The sequence below is a fragment of the Homo sapiens genome, chromosome 4, assembly GCF_000001405.40.
Source record: "Homo sapiens chromosome 4, GRCh38.p14 Primary Assembly".
Lineage (NCBI taxonomy): Eukaryota > Metazoa > Chordata > Mammalia > Primates > Hominidae > Homo > Homo sapiens.
Window position 1 is genome coordinate 113,045,468 of NC_000004.12, and position 20,263 is coordinate 113,065,730.

The window sequence follows — 20,263 nt, forward strand, 5'->3', positions numbered from 1 at the left end:
TAACTTTCTTACTTTGGACAAGTCACCAAACCCACTTTTTATTTCAGTTTTATCACCTGTACTGTGGTTGACACTAACCTTGTGTGGTTATGAGAATCCCGTAAAGTCACTTAGTATTTATTGAGTATCTGTCATATGCTGGCACTCTTATAGGTACTTGAATTATATCAACGAGAACAACAAAGATCTCTGTTCTCATGGAGCTTCCATTCCAGGAGCTAAAAGGGCTTTATGAATTATAAAATGCAAATGTAAGGTATTATCATCATTGCTATTGTGCCTGCAGCAACTCCCTTTTCTCAAATATCTGTAAAAATCTTATTTAAAATTATATATAGCTCTTAGATATCAGAAAGTACATAAAGGGAAAGAAAAATCTAAGAAATAAAAAATAATCTTTTAGATGTCTAATTGTAAATAAAAACTCATAGTAAGTACTGAAAATGTTTCTTTACTGTATTTAAAAATAGTTCCTAGTCCCCTATTATATGCCATGCACTGCAGTAGGCTTTATGTGGCATGCCAAGATAGATATTAATCCTGCCCTCAAGGAGCTTAGAGTCCAGTTAGGGACATGCCCACTGGAAAATGTACATTAGGATAGGAAGTGAAGAATACTCAGCAGACAGGCACAAGGAAATTGACGGAAAGCTTTCAGAAGAGGAAAGATGACTGCCCAAACACTTATAACATCTTGACATTTTCTATAGAAAATGTCAGAGAGATATTTACCCCCGGTGTTGTAATTGATACAATACTACCGGCACCTGTTTAACTACTGGCTGGGATTTTCATTTTATACAGAATTTAGATGTTTACATCTATGTTATACTGTATAGCATTTGGGCAATACTTTGTACAGGAAGTGCATTGTATACAAGTTTAAGTAATATTTCAGAATGACACTGCTATGGCTTGAATATTTGTGTCCTCCAAAATCATGTTGAAACTTAACCCCCAGTGTGATGGTGTTAGGGAACTGGGCCTTTAGGAGGTGATTAAGTCACGAGGGTAGAGCCCTCGTGAATGGGATAAGTGGCCTTATAAAAGGGGTGGAGGGAACTAGGTAGGCCCTTTTTGCTTTTCTTTCCTTCTGCCATGTGAGGAGAGTGTTCAATATGCCATCTGGGAAGAAGAGACCTGGCCCTCACCAGACAGTGAGCCTGCTGGTGCCTTGATCTTGGAACTTCCCAGCCTCAGAACTGTGACAAATAAATTTCTATTATTTATAAATTACCTCGTCTCAGGTATTTTGTTATAGCAGCACCAACACACTAAGATACACAAGCAGCCAGCAGGGTATAGCAGACTGTCAAATTGAGAAGCCAAAATCTGAGAATTTACAACCATGCACTGTATGTTTGAATGTTGACAGAGGAGGCATTGTTACAAAGGCTGTCAGAACATAATCAGAAGTTACTAATTCATAAACTGTTGAAATACGAAGTATATTTGTTTTCAATTTGCATTGCAGAGGTGATGTCCAAGCAATGATTCTATTACTAATTGGGCTACCAAACACATTGATTGAAAAACGTGTTCTGACTTCAACTGACAAAGAACATTAACAGCATCTCTCTCCTATAGATCCAGTTACGACAAAGGTTTTCCATTTTGCTTCTTCTTTTCATGGTATAATAGTTTCCTCAACATTTTTGCCAAGAAGTTCCCATCTCGGGACCTTTGAACTGCTATTCTGTTTGCCTAGAATATTCTTCCTTCAGGTAATTGCTTGGCTTGGTCCATTCAGATTTCTAAAGAGCATTCCTTAGCACCTTGTGTGCTAAGCACAGTAACATGTGTCTCTCATCACTCCTTATTCTACTTTTTTTCCCCAGAGCATTTGTCACTATTATTTTTGTTTACCACCTAGTTCCACTGTTAGAATGTAAGCACTATGACTGCAAAAATGTTTTGTTTATCATGATATCCACAGTAGTTAGCACAATGTGCCTCTAGTGCTCAGTTCCTGGCACATGATAGTCATCCAATAAATATTTATCGAGTAACTGAATGTGTCCAAGCTGAGGCTGCTCCCAAGAAAGGTCAAGAAAGGGGCATCTAATGGGACGAGGTGAGGGAATGAGTGAGGGGTTGGGAGAGCAGGTGGTTGGGGAGTAGGAAATGGCATGGGGATTTCAGTGGGGGCTGTGACCACAGTGGGAGTTGGGCTTCTGGAGGCTTCTGTAGAAGCTCTTTGGGGTTTTGTTTTAAAAAAAAAGAGAGAACCTTTGCCTCTTTGGCCTGGCTGTGTGATCCAAGATACCACTGAAGCAATGGTGAGAGAATGGCATTGGTGGAATGGGTCTGCTGAAACAGGAGGAGGGTGGAGGGAGTGAGGGGCAGCAAAACAGAGTTGACTCCAGATGATGACGTGGAGGGGCCTTAGGGTGGTAAGGCAGAGAGAAGGAGCAATCCTAACAGCAATGGGGAAATAGGTGAATTTTTGTTGCTCTGTCTGATGGAAAGGTGAGTTCTCAACTGCTGCAGTCATTTTCACATAAATATGTTTCTTAAGGTACACTTTCAGAGTTGAAAACTGTCTATATTTGTAATAATAATAAGATTAGCAATAGCAACACATTTACATAGGCACCTTCCAATTTCAAAGTGCATTTATATACACTATCTCGTTGGTTTAATCCTTACTCTATTTTTACTTCTAAGTATGCTGTGTATTATACTTTACGTTCATTGTCTGGGAATAAGGGCAAGTGTTTAGAATATACATATGTGCATTTGTACAAAGTATATTAGGTTCTGGTTGCATCTACAAGTGTGTATATATATATATATATATATATATATATTTTTTTTTTTTTTTTTTTTTTTTTTTTTTTTCAAGGCGGAGTCTTGCTCTGTCACCGAGGCTGGAGTGCACTGGGGGCAATCTTGGCTCACTGCAACCTTCGCCTCCCGAGTTCAAGCAATTCTCCTGCCCCAGCCTCCCCACACCTGGCTAATTTTTTTTTTTTTTTTGTATTTTTAGTAGAGGCAGGGTTTCATCACGTTGGCCAGGCTGTTGTCGAGCTCCTCACCTTGCGATCCACCTGCCTTGGCCTCCCAAAATGCTGGGATTATAGGCATGAGCCACTGCGCCCAGCCTACAAGTTAATATTTTTAAATATACAAGTATGGCCACCTTAATCAATAAGTGAATTTGGGTTTCTTGTTATAAAAACAAGCCCCATTTTTTTAAAATCAAGAAGAATTCCAGAACTTTATAGTATACACCCCTTGAGAGGAGGGATTGTGTTTTATTCATCAGTCAATAGACACAATTAGGTTAAGAAAACTTTTGAGATAAGTTATAAAATATTGCAACTCCATTAGTTTTTTATGTTTTTATTACTGATAGTGTCTTAGATATTTAACAAGCCTTGATTAACTGCCTTTAATGTGCCATGGATTATGCTTGGTTCTGGGAAATTCAGTTCTCCCCCTACCCAGACACACACACACACACACACACACACACACACACACACACACACACACTCCTGATCTAAAGCTCTTGGCCTATCAAGAAAAGATGGTTAGGTATCTGGGCAGTTGTGTAATACATTGTCACAGGTATACTGTCAGAAGCTTACATTGGAAAGAGAAGGCACAGGAGAAGAGAGTGGTTGGGGTTATCTGGAGGTTGGAGAAGCTGTTCTCAAGGCTTTATGACAGAAGTCATCCTTGAGTGTAGTTTCAAAAGATTATATTTTAAACCAAGTGAATGACATCTGAAAAACATAGCTTTCTTATATTCACTTTAGGATATTAATAACCAATCCTTTTCCTTAAGTAGCCTCTTGACTGGCTAAATGTACCTCTTCAGGTTCAGAGACACATTCTAGAATGTTACAGTTTTCTCATTATGCATTGTATCTGTTCCGTGTTGAAGTACCTGTAGGAAGAAAATTAAGTACAGGTTTTGTGTGTAGGTTGAGAGCTGATCCTATCAAGGGTGTGTCAGAAACCAACCAGCAGAGTCCCCAAATCATTCGAGTCCCTGGCATTCTTTTTTCAAGGCTTTCTTCATTGTAACCGGTTCCTGATGGTAATTGGTTGAATCAGATTTAACAATGCAGTCAGATAAACAGTTGTGGCAGCTGCTGCCATGGCAACGTCACCGTCCTTACCCTCCCAGTGCGCGCCCCTTCCCCACCCCTCCTCCTCCTCCTGCTTTCCTCCAGTAAGTGCATACCCGCTAGTGGTCTGTACAGGCGGCACGGTTTGATGGCAGAGATATTTTCTTTCCAAACTGTTCAAAATGATGAACGAAGATGCAGCTCAGAAAAGCGACAGTGGAGAGAAGTTCAACGGCAGTAGTCAGAGGAGAAAAAGACCCAAGAAGGTAAATCGCCGGAATTAGGAATGTCTGTGTATAAATATGTATGTGTGTGCATGTGTGAGTGTGTAATATCAGCAAGGCTATGGAAACCGTGGAGCATTATGAGTAACTGTAGACGATAACAGTGCCAAGCCTTGCTTTTTAAAGAGGCAGGTGCAAACTGCTGCTTTTTGAGAATAGTAAAGGAGCCATGGCTCATAATGGATACACTGACTGGAGCATGGTGAAGTGAATAGAGATAAGGTGTGTTCCACATGTGGATTACTGAGGACCGTGGCCACTGATGGATTCTTCTGGTGTTAACTGGGTAGAGAGAGTCGTTTTATTTTTAGTGTGTAAAAGGAAGAGTGTTAAGCAACGTGGATTGTGAAGCAAAAGGCAGATTTTTGGCCAGATGCGTTTGCTCTATGATGATCCTGAGATGGCTAGACAGCAAAAGCCTTTTGGTTTCATGCTAAGTGTATTCCTCCTAAGGAGAAAAGACTGCTGTGACAGGAGAAATATCATCCCCAGCATGATATTTCTTTGGCTTGCTTAGCTCCTCTGCAGTTTTCCCAGACATTAGTGTGATAGCTCTTTCAATAATAAGAAAAACAGCTAAAGATGTTATGGGGTGGGGGCTCTTGGGCACACAAAGCAGTCTGTAGGATTTCTTACTGTGGCATACATTCCCACACCCTCGATTTTCATGGAAATGATAGCAGCGAGAAACAGTGGGAAAAGATGCAAACTATTCAGCCCCACCCAATGCCAGCACTTCTTTCTTTATGGCCTGACTCCTTCTGGTAAACTGTTGCAGCCTCACAGAGCTTCCCTGAGCCTCACCTCTGAAAGAGATGCTCTATAAATAAATTCTCCTAAAATGCATTTATTTCCTGGAGCAATAATATGGGCAGGATATTAGATATGATTGTAATGTAAATGGCTTTCAACATTAGATGGTTTTGGATTTTGAATAAGCAGATTGCAAAAAATAATAAGCATGAACAAATGAATATTTTTCATTTTGCTAATGAAGTTGCATTGTGTTTCAAAATTCTAGATGTCTAGTGTACTAAATGTTTTATAATCTAAAGATTGTAAATAATTTGCAACCTCTGATATTTAAAAGATCACTGTATCAGCAAACAAGGGAGTAGTATATTTGTATGGTATCATGCAATTTGATAGAAATAAGCATGTGATGATTTTTAATCATAGCGTAGAGATAGTGATACAATCTGATAACAGGCAAAAGGATAATTCAGGGCAAGCAGGAACATTGGTAGAATGTCCTTTTCCTTTTGTACCTAAGCATTCCAGATCTAGACCTTGAGGGCATTTTTATAGAGTGTTAGCTAATTGAACAACATAAAAAAAGAAAAAGAAAATAGAAGAGAGAGCGCGAGCAAGCAAGAGAGAGGGAAAAAGAAAGAAAAAAAGGAATTTTTGTTTTAATTCACATTATCATTTCAAAATCCCGTATTTTCTCTCTAAAGTCCCTGTGGTGCTTTAGAAACAATATACTCAGGACTATTAAAGGGGTGGAGAATGAATCTTGAGATTTTTGAGCTCTGAATGATGATACTAACTTCACATGACCAAAGCCATTTTAAAGTCTTTGAGGAGGTAGAGACAACGAAATCATCCTATGTAATAACTATCATATCTTTAAGCTGAATTTTCTCAAATAAATTTATTTTAGGAGTAAGTCTTTTTCCAAACTTGCATCCAAAATGAAAGAGCAAGTTTTGAATGTGTGTGTCAGAGCACCATGAATATTGAGTGTTAAAAGGAGTTTCACCTAAAAGAAATTGCTTTTGAAAAAAATGCTAATTACATAATAGATTAGGGGACGCACACACATAAACACACACATACACATCCCTCAGCTTGCCTAGTCAGTCAGACATAAGTGGGTCTGAATCTCAGTTCTACCCTTTAATTTTGTGTGTTTGGAGCACATCATTTAATTTCTCATTTAATGAATCCAGGGATTCATCTGTAAAATGAGAATAATTATATATAGAATATTTTATGAGGATTAGAAATAATGTATATATGATTATTTGAACAGTATTTAAAACATATAGTCAATGGCAATAACTTTCAGGTGTTATTCTCTTAAATGGAATTTGTTTATTGCAATAAGCCTTTTAAGAGAAAAATCTGTTTATACTTTTGAGAGAGGCAGAAATGACAGAATCCAATATTGGTGCTTTGCAAAGGCTAGTAGTCATTTTTCAAAATGTCAAAAGTTATATGCTATAATTGGAAACTTTTTTATCTCAAAAAATCATTGAGATTTACATAAATGTACCTTAGGTCTTTATATTATTGTTTCACATTATTTTGCACAGCAAGAAACTTACATTTTCATATTTAAACACTAGACCATTAAATGTGCCTTGATGAGGACATTAATGATAAAGAGATAAGTATCCCTAATAAGCATAAAAGCTGAGAAAGCAAAAATTGGAGTAAAGTCAATGTCACATCACTTCAATTCGGTTGTTTGTTTTTCTACTAGAGGTTTACATTGAATCTGCTGTGGGATTCTACTTAAGCATCCAGGACTACGGACCACCAAGCTCACTATGGCCTGGGTGTGGATCTATCCTACTGAATCATATTCCTTGAAATCATGCGTCTATCTCTAGTAAATACGTAACAGATGGGCTGTAATTTACTTGTTTATTCTGTACCTTCCAAAAGTACCTCTTCTGAGGGACAGAGCTAAAGGGTCTTTTGCCACCAGACCTACAATGTGAGAAAACAAGCTCAAGGAGGAATTTATTTATGTCAAAATTTTACTGAGTGTGTTGAGAATAGAAATTCTTTGAGCTTTACTTAAGGTTGTCTATTTTGGCTTCAGTAAGGGAGCTTGTCGGTGCTCTCCACTCAGAAACCACAAGGAGTACACTGGTGGTTGAACATGATGGGTTTATGACTCATTGCCGCGAGGAGGATACACATCATGGGGAACCGTGGGGGCATCTCAGTAAACGGGTGCCAGGAAGAATGCACAGGATACGGGCTTCAGTTGAGTAATTTGAAAGAGGGTTCAAGAGACTGGTGGCTCACTCTGGGGATGGGGTACTCCCAGAAAGCAGGAACAATTCTACGATTGTGTATCCCAGTAAGTCTTATCTACAGGAGAACAGGCTAGAGCGTTACTAAAGCTATAGTTGTAAGGAGGCAGTAATCTCATTTGGCAAGAGAGGGAGATGTTTGGTATTTTGTGTCTTGGACAACGTCTTTGTTTTGTCTGTGTTCAGACATGATATGGGAGTGGTGTTGTTTTGGTTTTACTCTGTCATGGTCAGAGTGGCCTTGTCTGATGCTGATGCTTTGAGAAATTTTTTATGTTCAATAGGAGAACACTGAGGCCTAGCTGATAGTACCAGGCCCCCTCCTGTGGGTCAGTGGCTGCCTTTCTCATTCTCCAGCTTGAACACAAAGATACCTTTGGAGAGAGAGAGAAAGACTTGTTTATTATTGGATACTCTTTAGTACCCAAAGAAAATAAATTGTAGGTAGTAATGTTGTTAAAGTAGTCATGAAAACCTTCATCTGATACTTCCAACAAAGTTTTCTTAGGGCCAAGATATTTCATACTAACAGATATTGCCCAAGGTGCAGATTTGGGATTGATGTTCTAGTGGTGGTTCAGTGGCGAAGAGGAAATGGGGGCTATTCTAATTCTCAACTGGAATCCAGGACTAAAAAGAAGCATTGGTAGCTATGTGAAATGTATCCGTGTAAGACAGCTTTGAGCCTACTCTAAATCCCAGACAACTCTATAAAGATTTTTATATTTTTTGAGGCAGGGTCTTATTCTGTCACCCAGGCTGGAGTACAGTGGTGTGATCATGGCTCACTGCAGCATCAACCCACCTGGCTCAAGCGATCTTCCTGCCTCAGCCTCCCTTGTAGCTGGGACTGCAGGCATGTGCCACCACAGCTGGCTATTTTTGTTTTTTTAACTTTTTGTAGAGACAGTCTCCCTAAGGAACCCAGGCTGGTCTTGAACTCCTGGTCTCAAGCAATTCTCTCTCATCCTCTCAAAATGCTGGCATTACAGGCATGAGACTATAAAACTTATTCCACTATTCCACTATTTTGACAGATTAGATTAAAATAATCCAAGACCATATTTTTGTGTGCAGCTCCACACACTTTCCAATTTTGTAGCAATAACATAGCAGTGGATTTATACTAAAAGAGGCTGTAGGAGATTTTGGTAATTTACATAATTGGAAATGGGAATGCCCAAGCATCAATCACAGGTGACAGCCATCTGAAACCACTAGGCTTGTGAGTTCTTCTAAAACAAGTACATGAGTAAATGGTTTACTAACTGTTTTTCCCATTTAGTGGAATAATGATATGAAGATAAAAATAAAATATCAGCACCATTATTTTCAACAGAGTAGTAGGATAAAATGGCTTTATAGGATACCTTATATTTATTGAAGATGCTTTGATCTGGATCACTAAGATATTCATAAGCATTGCAAAATATTTTGAAGGTACACACACACACACACACATATTTAATGGCTGTTTAGGCCACTGCCTAAATAGAGAGATGAAGGAGGAAAGTGTTGCCAGATGTGTGGTTAAAATGTTGTACCATAGAAATGTGAATGAGGTACATATTAAAAGGTTTATTTTTATAGCAGCCAAAGAAACTATGCCCTTTTTAGTGAAATCAGGTAGTAGATCCAACATTTGGGTGTCCAAATAGTATTGGAGTCAATTAATTTTGAATTTAAAGTTGATGCCTTATCTAGTTCACTGATATCTAGACAGGCTTCCATGTATAATTTATTCTGAATAATATCCCTATTTCTTCAGTCTTTCAAATAACTTACCATTTGCCCTTTATAAAATACCAACTTATAACCCAAAATAGCATGTGTTGCCTGAAGACAGTAATTCCCCATCACTGAAGGTATTTAAAATGACCATCTGTCAGGGATGATGGAAATTTTTATTGGAAAGAAAAATACCTTATAACCTGGTATTCTGTGATTTTCTTTCAATGTCTTCCTCTCTGTTTCTATTTACTCACTTTTATGATATTAATTTTTTCACTGATAATTTCATGTCTTAGTAATAACTAATTTATCCTTTTTAGAGCAGCATATTTCAAAGTGCTGTCTGCTGACCTCAACTACCAGAATTACCTGGGTTGTCTGCTAAAATAATTCACTTCTTAGGACCCACTTCAGACCTGCTGTGTATCAGAACCTTTGAGGATTTTTAACAGGCTCCCAACTCTTTCTTATGCATACTCAAGTTTAGAACCATTGTCTTAGCCAGGTGCAGTGGCTCACACCTGTAACCCCAGCACTTTGGGAGGCTGAGGCAGGAGGATTGCTTGACCCCAGGAGTTTGAGACCAGCCTAGGCAAGATAGCAAGACCCTGTATCTAAAAAAATAAATAAAAATAAAAAATTAGCCAGGCATGGTTGTACATGCCAGTAGTCCCAGCTACTGGGGACTGCTGGGGACACCCAACCCCCGAGGGTGAGGTCATAGTAAGCCATGATCTTGCCACTGCACTCCAGCCTGCATGACACAGTGAGACTGTCTAAATAAATAAATAAATGAATAAATAGATAGATAAATAAATAAATGAATGGAACCATTGCCTTAGAATGTGGTCAACAGTCATGAAGTTGAGTTATCTTAGAAAGAAGAATCTTTAATTTTGATTAGATGTGTTAGTTTATTACTTGGCTCTTACAGTAACATTTGTTTAAGTCTAGATGGCAGCAGCAATGACACAAGAAAATTGAGAACAACATTTCTTTTAATCTTACTCTTATGTCTGGAATCTAGAACTGCTTTCACATGCTATCTTATTTGATCTTCAGAATAACTCTCATTGCATATTATTATCCCAGTTTCATAGATGAGAAACTGGAGACTCAGAGACTACATACAGATGGTGCTGAAGAGACCATAGACATTTTTCCTACTGTTCAACTAATAACATATTTTGAGCCATTTCTCCTGTGGAAACCAGGTGTAAGGTAGTCTTCTGTGTCTCTTGCAAAGATTCTGTGGTTATCTTCTAAGATATCCTCCTGATTCTTCCTTCCAGTGTTGCTGCCATTTTGCGTCAGTTGATCACATTTCCAAAAATGCTCACTCTTATCTATGGGAATAACATGGAAAAGTAACTTCTTTCATGGCTATCTATGATACTCTCCCAAGCAGCATTCCCAAAAGAAGGGAAACTTCTTTTGCTTCCATTATGTTTTGTGCTATGTTGTTGTAGATGTATCCATCAGTCCATGTAGACAACATGTTGGACTTTGAAAATTCACAAAAATGTAAGAAACAAAACTTAAGTAAACAGCTGCCTTCATGTGGCTTAGGCATGTTAAATTAAGCCACCATAAAAAGTTCACCCTACTTTCACCATTTTAGCTCTAATTATTCTCTTGAGAAAATTTTGTTAGTATGATATTCTCAGTAGTTGTTCTATTAAAAGTTCTTTTCCATACACTCTTTTCTGAAGTGTTGGAGGTTTCTTTTTCCTTCTTGATAAAGTTTCTAAAGAGACATTTGATTGCACATTAAAATAGACTTGAAATTTTAATCTGTATTTGTTTCTGTCTTGTCCTGATTCAGAGCATGCTAAATTATAAATATGCTTACAGCTTTACTTCTGTCTTGCTTGTACTCTGTTCTAATTCCTGTTGGAGGCAGAAACAAAATCACTGCCTATTTTTATCTCATTGGACACTGGTCGGATACATCACAACAAATAAAGTTACCATTTCAATTTCCTTTTACTAGATAGAGCAGAGATGGGATTGCTACCCAGGGAGACAATCTTTTGATAGAAAAAGTTTAAATTTTTATGTACTCGAGACCAAATAAATATGATAGAGTATTTCTTTTTCTTTGAAATTCATGCCTACATCCCAACCCGTAGGGAGGGTCATTTTTAAAAAGCTGCAGGGAGAAGGGAAAATATGTTCTAGATAATAATATACCACAGTCTACAGGGTGAGCATCTTCTTAGTCATGAGACCTGGTTTTTATTCATGTTTTTCTGTTAACTCACAGACAACTATCATCTTCTTCCACACACTAATTTGTGTTTGTAGTCATTAAGACAAAGACCTTGATTTCTAGCATTTGCTTAATGAAATTCAGTTTCTAAGAATCAGCTTGTTTTGCTCAGTTTAATTTAGGTGTTTCTTCCGAACACATGGGAAAGTTCCCCCAATTCAACAATTGGTATTGGTTTGCTGAGTGTATAGCACTGTGTTAGGTGCTATGGCATGGCTAGGCTAAAAGCCAATGATTGACACTTACATGGAATTCATAATCTGAGCAGACATTTCTATCTAAGAAAAAAGTAATGAGCAATCTACAGAAATATTATAGGTATACTCACACATATTATAAGTAAAATATAAATATGTTGTGCAATTGCCAAAAAGAAACTCTACAGGATTCTGTAGAAGGGCAAGAGATCAGTGTAATTTTGTTAGAAGAGTAAACCCTATGAGTGGGTGAACAGTAGTACAGAGCCGTAAGTTATGGCTAATGTGTGAGTATAAAGGAAGGGGATACACAGGCATTCTGGATGCAACAGCCTCAGGCATATAATTCCAAATTACAGTAAAGATTAGGAAACTGTTGAGTGATTTGTTGCAGTGCAGAGCCATAACCATTGTGAGTGGACTCTGACATGGTTGTCCTTGTGCTTTCAGCCTTAGCCAGCTGCAGCTTGCATTTTGGAATCCATCTTGTTTTGATGACTGAGCCTGTGTCCTTCTCCTATTATATATATATATGTTTAATCACTCATTTTACCTGTGAAAATTTGCCCCATATCTCTGTTTATAGATTATTTCTGCAATCAGTAGTAAATTCCAATAAGTAAGCCTCCAAATTAACAAGACATTCGAATCTAGTAGGGACAATTTTTGAAAGTATCTAAATATTCAGCCTTCTGCCTTTACCTGAAAGAGATGCTGGTATGGATAACCCAGGATTGCAATTATCTATAACACTTATACAGGCACTCATAATACTTTGCATAGCAGCTAAAAACTGGTTTGTCCCTTTGGGTTTTTATTTTATTGGTGATCATAATGTTATGCTAGTATAACATTACTAAGGTAGTCCACTTTGCAGGCTGACTTTGAGTTTGCTCTGGATCTTCTGTTGGATTTTCAGATCCTTGAACAAGAAATTTGAGACTTTCCCCTCCTTTCCATTTCCTGGTCTGGCCACAGGTTTCTGTGCAGTCTTCTTTGTCCATTTTAACTGGCAAACAGAGTGACTCATGACCAACCATTTCACTTCTGGCCACCTTTCACATCCTACTTACAAAATAAGCACAATTATAGCCAGTGCCACTTCAAAGAACACACATAGTTAAAGGAATAAAGGGGTGTTTTTGAAATAAAACTATAGAAACAGAGCTAAGTGTTAGGGTCTGTGTCGATACTAAAAATGGGAAGAAATTAAAAAGAAATTGTGAACCATTCTAGAATGTTTCACCCAGTGCTAGTAAGTGGTACCTTTTTATAAGTATTTTAATGTAATAATATAATGGTTACTGTAATTCTAATATTTGACAACATTCTTAATAATAAGTATTTCTATGTGGCCAATTGAGCCCAGTTTAGGTGGGAGGTATTCTAGTTTAAAAAAAATGAAAACTTAAATTCAAAACATTAGGAGAACTATATATGAGAAATTTAGTATTTTCTATGTCAAGATTTTGGTCCTCTTTTTGTATAATGCTTATCCCTAAAGAATCCCTTTTTCAGATGTTCTAAATGCTTGCCCAGAATTCAGAGGGTATGGTGGCGGGATGCCTTTCTCTCTTACTCCATAGCACTGTCTTGTAATAAGTGCAGAGGGGTGGCAATACACCCAATGGCCAATAATTTAAAATGAAAATCAGGAAGGAAAGAAATTAGAATAAGTATAGATACTTTCCATTATTTTAGTAGTTTAGAGATGCCATTAGAACTGCTAGAGATATTCATACTGCTATTAAATTAATGTGAATGTCTGTCTTAGTACTTTTGGGCTGATATAACAAAGTACCTTAGAGTGAGTAGTTTAAAAACAACAGAAATTTATTTCTCACAGTTCTGGAGGCTAGGAAATTGAAGATCAAGCCATCAGCTGATTTGGTGTCTGATGAAGGCCCCATTTCCTGGTTCACAGATGATGCCTTCTCTCTGTGCCTTCACATGGTGGAAAAGGCAAGACAGCCTTCTGGGGCGTCTTTTATATGGGCACTAATTCCATTCATGAAGACTCTGCCCTCATTGCCAAATCACCTTCCAAAGGCCTCAGCTCCTAAAGCCATTGCATTGGTGATTAGATTTCGACTTAGGGATCTTGAGGAAGACACAAACATTCAGATTACAGCAGTCTGCTTTAATGTTCTCCCATTCAGTTAAACTTGTATTAGATTGTGTATAGCCTGGCATGCTTAAATAGTATTTTCTGTAAAGTTGACACAGTAAATACTTTCAGTGTTCTGTGAAGTCAGTCAAATTCAGAAGACTAGCCCTACATATGAATTTGATCTATGTATATGTTGTTGCCATGAACTATAGTACATATGTTTAATAATTGTCTACGTGATTTATTCTTGGCTTGATCTACCACATATTATCATTTGTGTAGAAAAGGTGTTCAAAAGAGACTGTATAAATAGCCTATAAACATCAGTTCTGTTCAATGTGAAGAGGAAAGAGTTATCATAATGGTTCATACGGCATTCTTATAGGTCATTCCTCTGTCCCAATAAAGTACAGAGACTGTACTTTGAGAATTCAGAAATTGGCAACACTTTCCACACAGTCTATGATTCATAGTAGGGACTATGAAGAGCCTTAATGTGAATTAGCCATTTGTTTCCATAATTTTAGATTATTCTGAAAAGAGCATTTAAATAGCATTGATAAAATGTTCATGAGTAACACATTACTATACTCCAAGACTCAGAATAAGTTCATATACTGAGGTTTGGGGATGAGTGGTGACTGGATTTTGGTTTGAATGCTTAGCTATTTAGGGCATAGTGCTAATCTAGCCACCAATATCCCATAAGAGCCAGTTATCTTCATTTAGTGTCAAAGGCATACACTTCATTCTTAACTGAAGAGAGTAGCTGATCAAACTGACACAGCAAAGCAGAGTACTGCCAGATGTGTGCACACCCAACTACGTTACCAAAATTAACACACTGCGATTATCCCAGAGTCACTTATCTCCTAATGTGTGAAGGAATTCTGGTCCTTTTTAGAAGGTCATATGAGGGGAAATGATACTAATAGAATGACAGTCAAATAGGGGTCTTCTGTGGCATTGTGATGAAGTCTACCTCAATCAAACCCGTTTGAACACATGATGTTTTGTTAAATAAATGGAACAATTTATTTATAGAAAAATTATTTATTAGAAAAAATAGTTCATCCCATTGGAATTGCATTTTTCAATGATAATAATAAATAGTAGTTAATATTCATTGAGAGATTAGTATATCTACATGCCAGTCTACATAGAGTTCTACATAGATTATCTAATTTTATCTTCACAATAACGTGATGAGTAGATAGTTTATGATTCCATATTAAAGATGACACTGATGTCCAGATGGGTTTAAAAAAACCCTTCCTGCTTGAATCTACATAGCTCCTAAACGAGCTATCCCAGGTCAAACTGACCACTCTGCTTATCTCCAAACCCCTGTGCTATGTGAATACAACAATCTTTTACACAATTCAAATAGGATTAAGAATTAAAGAAATAGGAGTTTTGTTTATGTCCCAAACCTGTTTCACTCATATGCCTTCGCTGATTGGTCAATTGGTCAATGAATCTAAAAAGCTTTTTTTTTTTTTTTTTTTTTTCCCAAATACGGTTTAAAACAGAAGTATAAATCCAAATTAGAAAAGTTTTTTTATGTAGTTGTTGACTAAGATTATTAGATGCTTTCAGAATATTCAAGCCAGATGTGAATTCTCAGACTCAGCTGTGGAACACTGAAGAATGAAGCTTTATAGTTGGTATTTCCATCTGCACTTCAACTGTATTTGTCAAATGGCTGACACCCTTAGCATAGCCTCTCTAATATAAGGGGGAATTTGTTAGTGAGTTCATGTTGCTTGTCCTAATTCAAAAGGTCACTAATCTATCATGTGCTCCATAATCTCATTACACAGCAGGGACCTCTTTCCAGTTGTTAAAGAACCAGTAGGACTGATTGGCCTATTACATGGGGCAGTCAGGCATTTGTTTACTGGCCCATCTAGAAACTGGTGCTTTAAACTGTTTTTTTGGATGGGTAGGAGGTCTGTTCCATCTGGAACCTTGGTACCTCTTCCAGATGACCCTGCCCCAAGTGGCTTCCATGTTTGATTTGTGAAGGTAGTTCTTGAGCACTAGCAACAGGTTAGGTGTGGTTGGGGAACTTACACTTACTGTAACAAAACGCCTTGATCAGATAAAAAATTACTGTTGGAATAATTTTCTGAATCACTGACCCTCATCCAGTGGGAGACTAAAGCTCCTCCCCTGATTGCTTTTTCCCAGTAATAATTTAAATGGATGACTATTTTTGGTAACCTTTATTTATAGTTTGTCAAAATGAGCAGAATATTAGCTAAAGGAAGTATGTTTTCCTTTGTGGAGCAATTAATTTTTCGTTTCAAAAAGGCTGTCAGGAGATAATTTTTGTAGGTTGCTTATATAACAACATCAATAATTTAAAAAAATTACATACACACGTACACACGCACTTACATTATTCTGAGTTTTAGATATGAGGCTCTTGGAAATGGCTTATAAACTTTGGGGATTTTTTAAAAAAGATAAACTGCCATAACCATACTCCAATTTATATTTGCCTGGATATTTGAAGTATCTTCAATAATACTGCTGTTGTTTAATGCGCACAAAAAAATAATTAAAAAGAATGAATAGGATGTAGTATTAGCTAGTAAAACAGAATGACTATAGTAAAAAATAATGTAATTGTACATTTAAAAATAACTGAAAGAGTATAATTGGATTGTTTGTAGCACAAAGGATAAATGCTTGAAGTGATAGATACCCTGTTTACCCTGATGTGATTATTATGCATTGCATGCCTGTATCAAAATATCTTATGTAACCCATAAACATATACACTTATTATGTACCCACACAAATTAAAAATTAAAAAAATTTTGAAAAGCAACTAAAAAAAAATTGCTGTTGCCATAGAAAGTTTTTTATTATACACTGTCTTCATTCTAAAAACCTAAGGCCATGCCCTGTACAGGGTTTGGATTCTTGTCTAAAGCAGAATTATTAATTTAGAAGCCATAAATTAAATTTCCAAACATTCAAACAGGCTTCTTTCTCCCCAGGGTAGATTTTTAACTCTCTATGTCAGGATCTATTGGCAGTTTTTTGTTCCAACTCAGGTGTCAAGGGTCATGTGGAGACCATCATGATATGGCCTAATCTATAATTTAAGTATCATGTACATTTCAGTTTAATATTTTAAAATGAAAGTAATAATAATGTGCATTTTAGAATTTTTACTGCTTGAATTGGTGTCTCAAGTTTATTTCAAGGTGACCAATGAACAATGATTTTGGATCTCATTAAATTCTTAAATTTTCTGGCTGTATAGCTCTTTGTATATTTCTGTATGACTACATATCACTCTTTTATAGTATATTCATATAAGATTTTCTGCACTTTTTTGTACCATCCAGAAGAGCCATATTGTAGGTAGAGGTTATTATATACTTTATGAATTGCAGAAGTAAACAGTTTTGAATAATTCAATACACTAAGAATATATGGTTCCACATGGACCTCCTAGAACATTTTTGACACCAATAATTACATCACAGGAGTGATTAATACTTACGCAGATATGGCTGGCTAGGTCTTTCAGTATACTGAATGTTTACTGTATGTGAGAATGATCCCTTGCACCTTTTCAAGCACAGCTGTCTAGTAAACATTTATTGACTATTTGTCCAATAGGCTATGTAGCTCTGATATTTGATAATAGGATTAATATTTTGCCTTTTCTGTCTACATTACTGTACTAATTTGATTATTTTCCCTGGGCCTATCATGATGACAAGGAATTATGTCTGTTGACCTTAAAATGACCTTGAGGAAATGAGGTGCTAATATCAATTTAGGTGACAGATGATAAGTGCCTGTGTTATAGCTGACTGAAAATTCATGTTCCACAGCGTAATATCTATTTGGAATCTAAAATTCTAAAGTTGAATATGACATTTAGTAAAAAGATATCCAGTAGAATATATATTCATATCTCTGTGTGTGTATGAGTGTGTGTATTTGAGCCAAATATTCTCTTTGGGTGTTGCTAAATAATGGAAAAAGTTACCACCAAATTTGTTATGTGTTTTAAATGATAGCATTTGGTTATCATTTATTAAGGGCTCTCAAATCATACCTGCAGCCAACATTGTGGATAAGAGAATACTTGGTAACAATCATTATTAAAATAAGAAATTCTTGGAAAGGTGGATTTCAGCATTGCTTTCTCAGAAAACATATGGTACTTGAATTTGCCTTCTTCTCTGTGTCTAGTCAAGGTTTGCATTTCTTTAATGATGTGCATTTGCCCTTTTCCACTATAAAAAGAATTGCTTTTTGCCACAATCAGAAAACATTTAGTATATTTTATGTGGACACTTTCTCAGTTGGTAGAAGACGGAAGACCAAATAAGCTTATAAATAGTAATACACATGCATGATAATAGTAACAGATTATTTTAGTCTGCTGGCAGTTATAGGTAGGTATTTTTATACTTAATTTGAAAAATACTTGAGAATTAACAGCAAATGTAAAATTCAAAGAGCTGAATTATGAAAAATGATATTTTATCTCATACAAATACATTTTTAAATTCTAAGATAATGAAACTGAACTCTTAGTGTGAGTTTAGAAGTGAGGCTGAAAACAGATCTCAGGACTATTTTTAGTAGACTTTGTTTAAATTCTTGCTAATGTCCAACTAAATACATTTGAAGTTATTTAGATTGCAATAAAAAAAACCACCTTCCTGCTTCTTTATTTCATTTGATGTCTCAAATCCCACATTATTTATGGAAAGCTGATTTTAAAATAATGTTTTATTTTTGAGTTGACGTAAAACATCAAACTGAAATTTGATTTTTCCATAAACATAAAAAGACATTTTTTTGTTGTTGTTGTGTTTGCTTTTTAACAGATATGTATAAATGACTCTCCTCCCAGTGGAAGTCATTTTTGGAAATTTTAGTGATACAGTCCAGTTTAATTGCTGAATTGTTTACAGGTGTTAAAGATTTCTAGCATTGATAGTAGAGAAATTTTTCCTCATTAATTTTTCTTTTTAGGAATTTGAAGCCCTTTAGAATATAACATAAATACATTTTGCTTCAAGTTTAATAGCAGAAAAAGATCCCTTCCACCTACCTCATCATCTCTGTGTACACTAAGCTCTCCCAAGAGCACTCTGTGTGACTTACCGTGATGACAGGTTTTTGTGTCTGTTTTAATCGTATTTACCATACGCAGGTGCCAATTGTTCTGTGAGCATACACATAACAGCAGGTGGTGCCAGTCAGGATTCAGCCAGGATTAAGGAGGAGGGGCTCTGCATTCCACAGTGCACATAGCCACCTTTTGTTTTCCCATGACAGAAATCCCCTTCCCTCCCCACCTGCCAGCCCTGCTTATCCACCTCACTCTAGGAGCTCAATTTGTGGTGGTGTGCTTTGTGAAAAAGTACCAACCACCCTTACGTCAAGAAAGTCCAAACGATTGTGCAAAGTATGGCCCGTGTTGTTCTTTGGGAAGTCAATTTTAACTTTTAAGATCGTTGTCATGAAATGACAGTTAATTTTCTTGTTAGAAAGTTCTGTAGAACTTCTAACAAAAATGTTAGAAAGTTCTGTAGAACTTCTAACAAAAATGTTAGAAAGTTCTGTAGAACTTCTAACAAAAATGTTAGAAAGTTCTGTAGAACTTCTAACAAAAATGTTAGAAAGTTCTGTAGAACTTCTAACAAAAATGTTAGAAAGTTCTGTAGAACTTCTAACAAAAATGTTAGAAAGTTCTGTAGAACTTCTAACAAAAATGTTAGAAAGTTCTGTAGAACTTCTAACAAAAATGTTAGAAAGTTCTGTAGAACTTCTAACAAAAATGTTAGAAAGTTCTGTAGAACTTCTAACAAAAATGTTAGAAAGTTCTGTAGAACTTCTAACAAAAATGTTAGAAAGTTCTGTAGAACTTCTAACAAAAATGTTAGAAAGTTCTGTAGAACTTCTAACAAAAATGTTAGAAAGTTCTGTAGAACTTCTAACAAAAATGTTAGAAAGTTCTGTAGAACTTCTAACAAAAATGTTAGAAAGTTCTGTAGAACTTCTAACAAAAATGTTAGAGTTGAAATTTAAACAAATACAGCACCTCTCAAATTCTACAGGAACATATAGATATCACCTATATGTGTATAATAAATATAATATTTTTGTTATTGCAAAATCAGTATATATGTGAGTGCTCTCTTTTGTGTGTGTATGCATGCAAGTGACTTTAATGTGTGATTCATACTAATTTCATTTTTTAGAGCATAAACTTTTAGAGCTGAAAGCTTGAAATTTCCAGTTCTAACTGTCTTATTCCATATAAGGAAATGGAGACCCAAAGAAGTCAAGCACCTTGGCCAGAATCATGTACGTAGTTAGTGGCAGACACGGGCCTAGAACTCATGTTACTTGATTCCTAGAAAAGTGTTTTTCCTGTTTCTTACAGGTCATCTGAAAGAGCAATCAAAACTAGCAATGGGAGAGAGAATTTCAGTGTTGATTTTGGGAGAGGTATAGCTTTAGCAAAGCCCCTGATCTACTGCATGAAGGAGA

At 36.4% G+C, this 20,263-nt stretch overlaps 1 protein-coding gene across 57 annotated transcripts in view, besides 2 other annotated features; it reads left to right on the top strand.

The window, feature by feature from the left end:
* ANK2 (ankyrin 2) overlaps positions 1-20,263 on the top strand; it is a 678,115-nt gene that overhangs the window by 339,846 nt on the left and 318,006 nt on the right. For 12 of the 57 annotated variants that reach the window (NM_001354241.2, NM_001354225.2, NM_001354235.2 and 9 more), the window contains exon 1: positions 3,947-4,345. The exons of 43 other annotated variants lie outside the window; for them this stretch is intronic. In NM_001354241.2, the coding sequence (NP_001341170.1) occupies positions 4,262-4,345 (84 nt within the window). In that variant the 5' untranslated portion in view covers positions 3,947-4,261. Of the gene's footprint in view, positions 1-3,946; positions 4,346-20,263 lie in introns of those variants that run through there. 2 more of the 57 variants (NM_001148.6, NM_020977.5) reach the window with 1 other exon arrangement.
* Positions 15,300-15,870: an enhancer, noted in NCBI's record as "OCT4-NANOG hESC enhancer chr4:113981923-113982493 (GRCh37/hg19 assembly coordinates)". NCBI's record gives its function as "activates a minimal SCP1, AML or CMV promoter by ChIP-STARR-seq in naive H9 embryonic stem cells {active_cell/tissue: H9 hESC(naive)}" and the evidence as "EXISTENCE:reporter gene assay evidence [ECO:0000049][PMID:30033119]".
* Positions 18,591-19,241: an enhancer, noted in NCBI's record as "OCT4-NANOG hESC enhancer chr4:113985214-113985864 (GRCh37/hg19 assembly coordinates)". NCBI's record gives its function as "activates a minimal SCP1, AML or CMV promoter by ChIP-STARR-seq in primed H9 embryonic stem cells {active_cell/tissue: H9 hESC(primed)}" and the evidence as "EXISTENCE:reporter gene assay evidence [ECO:0000049][PMID:30033119]".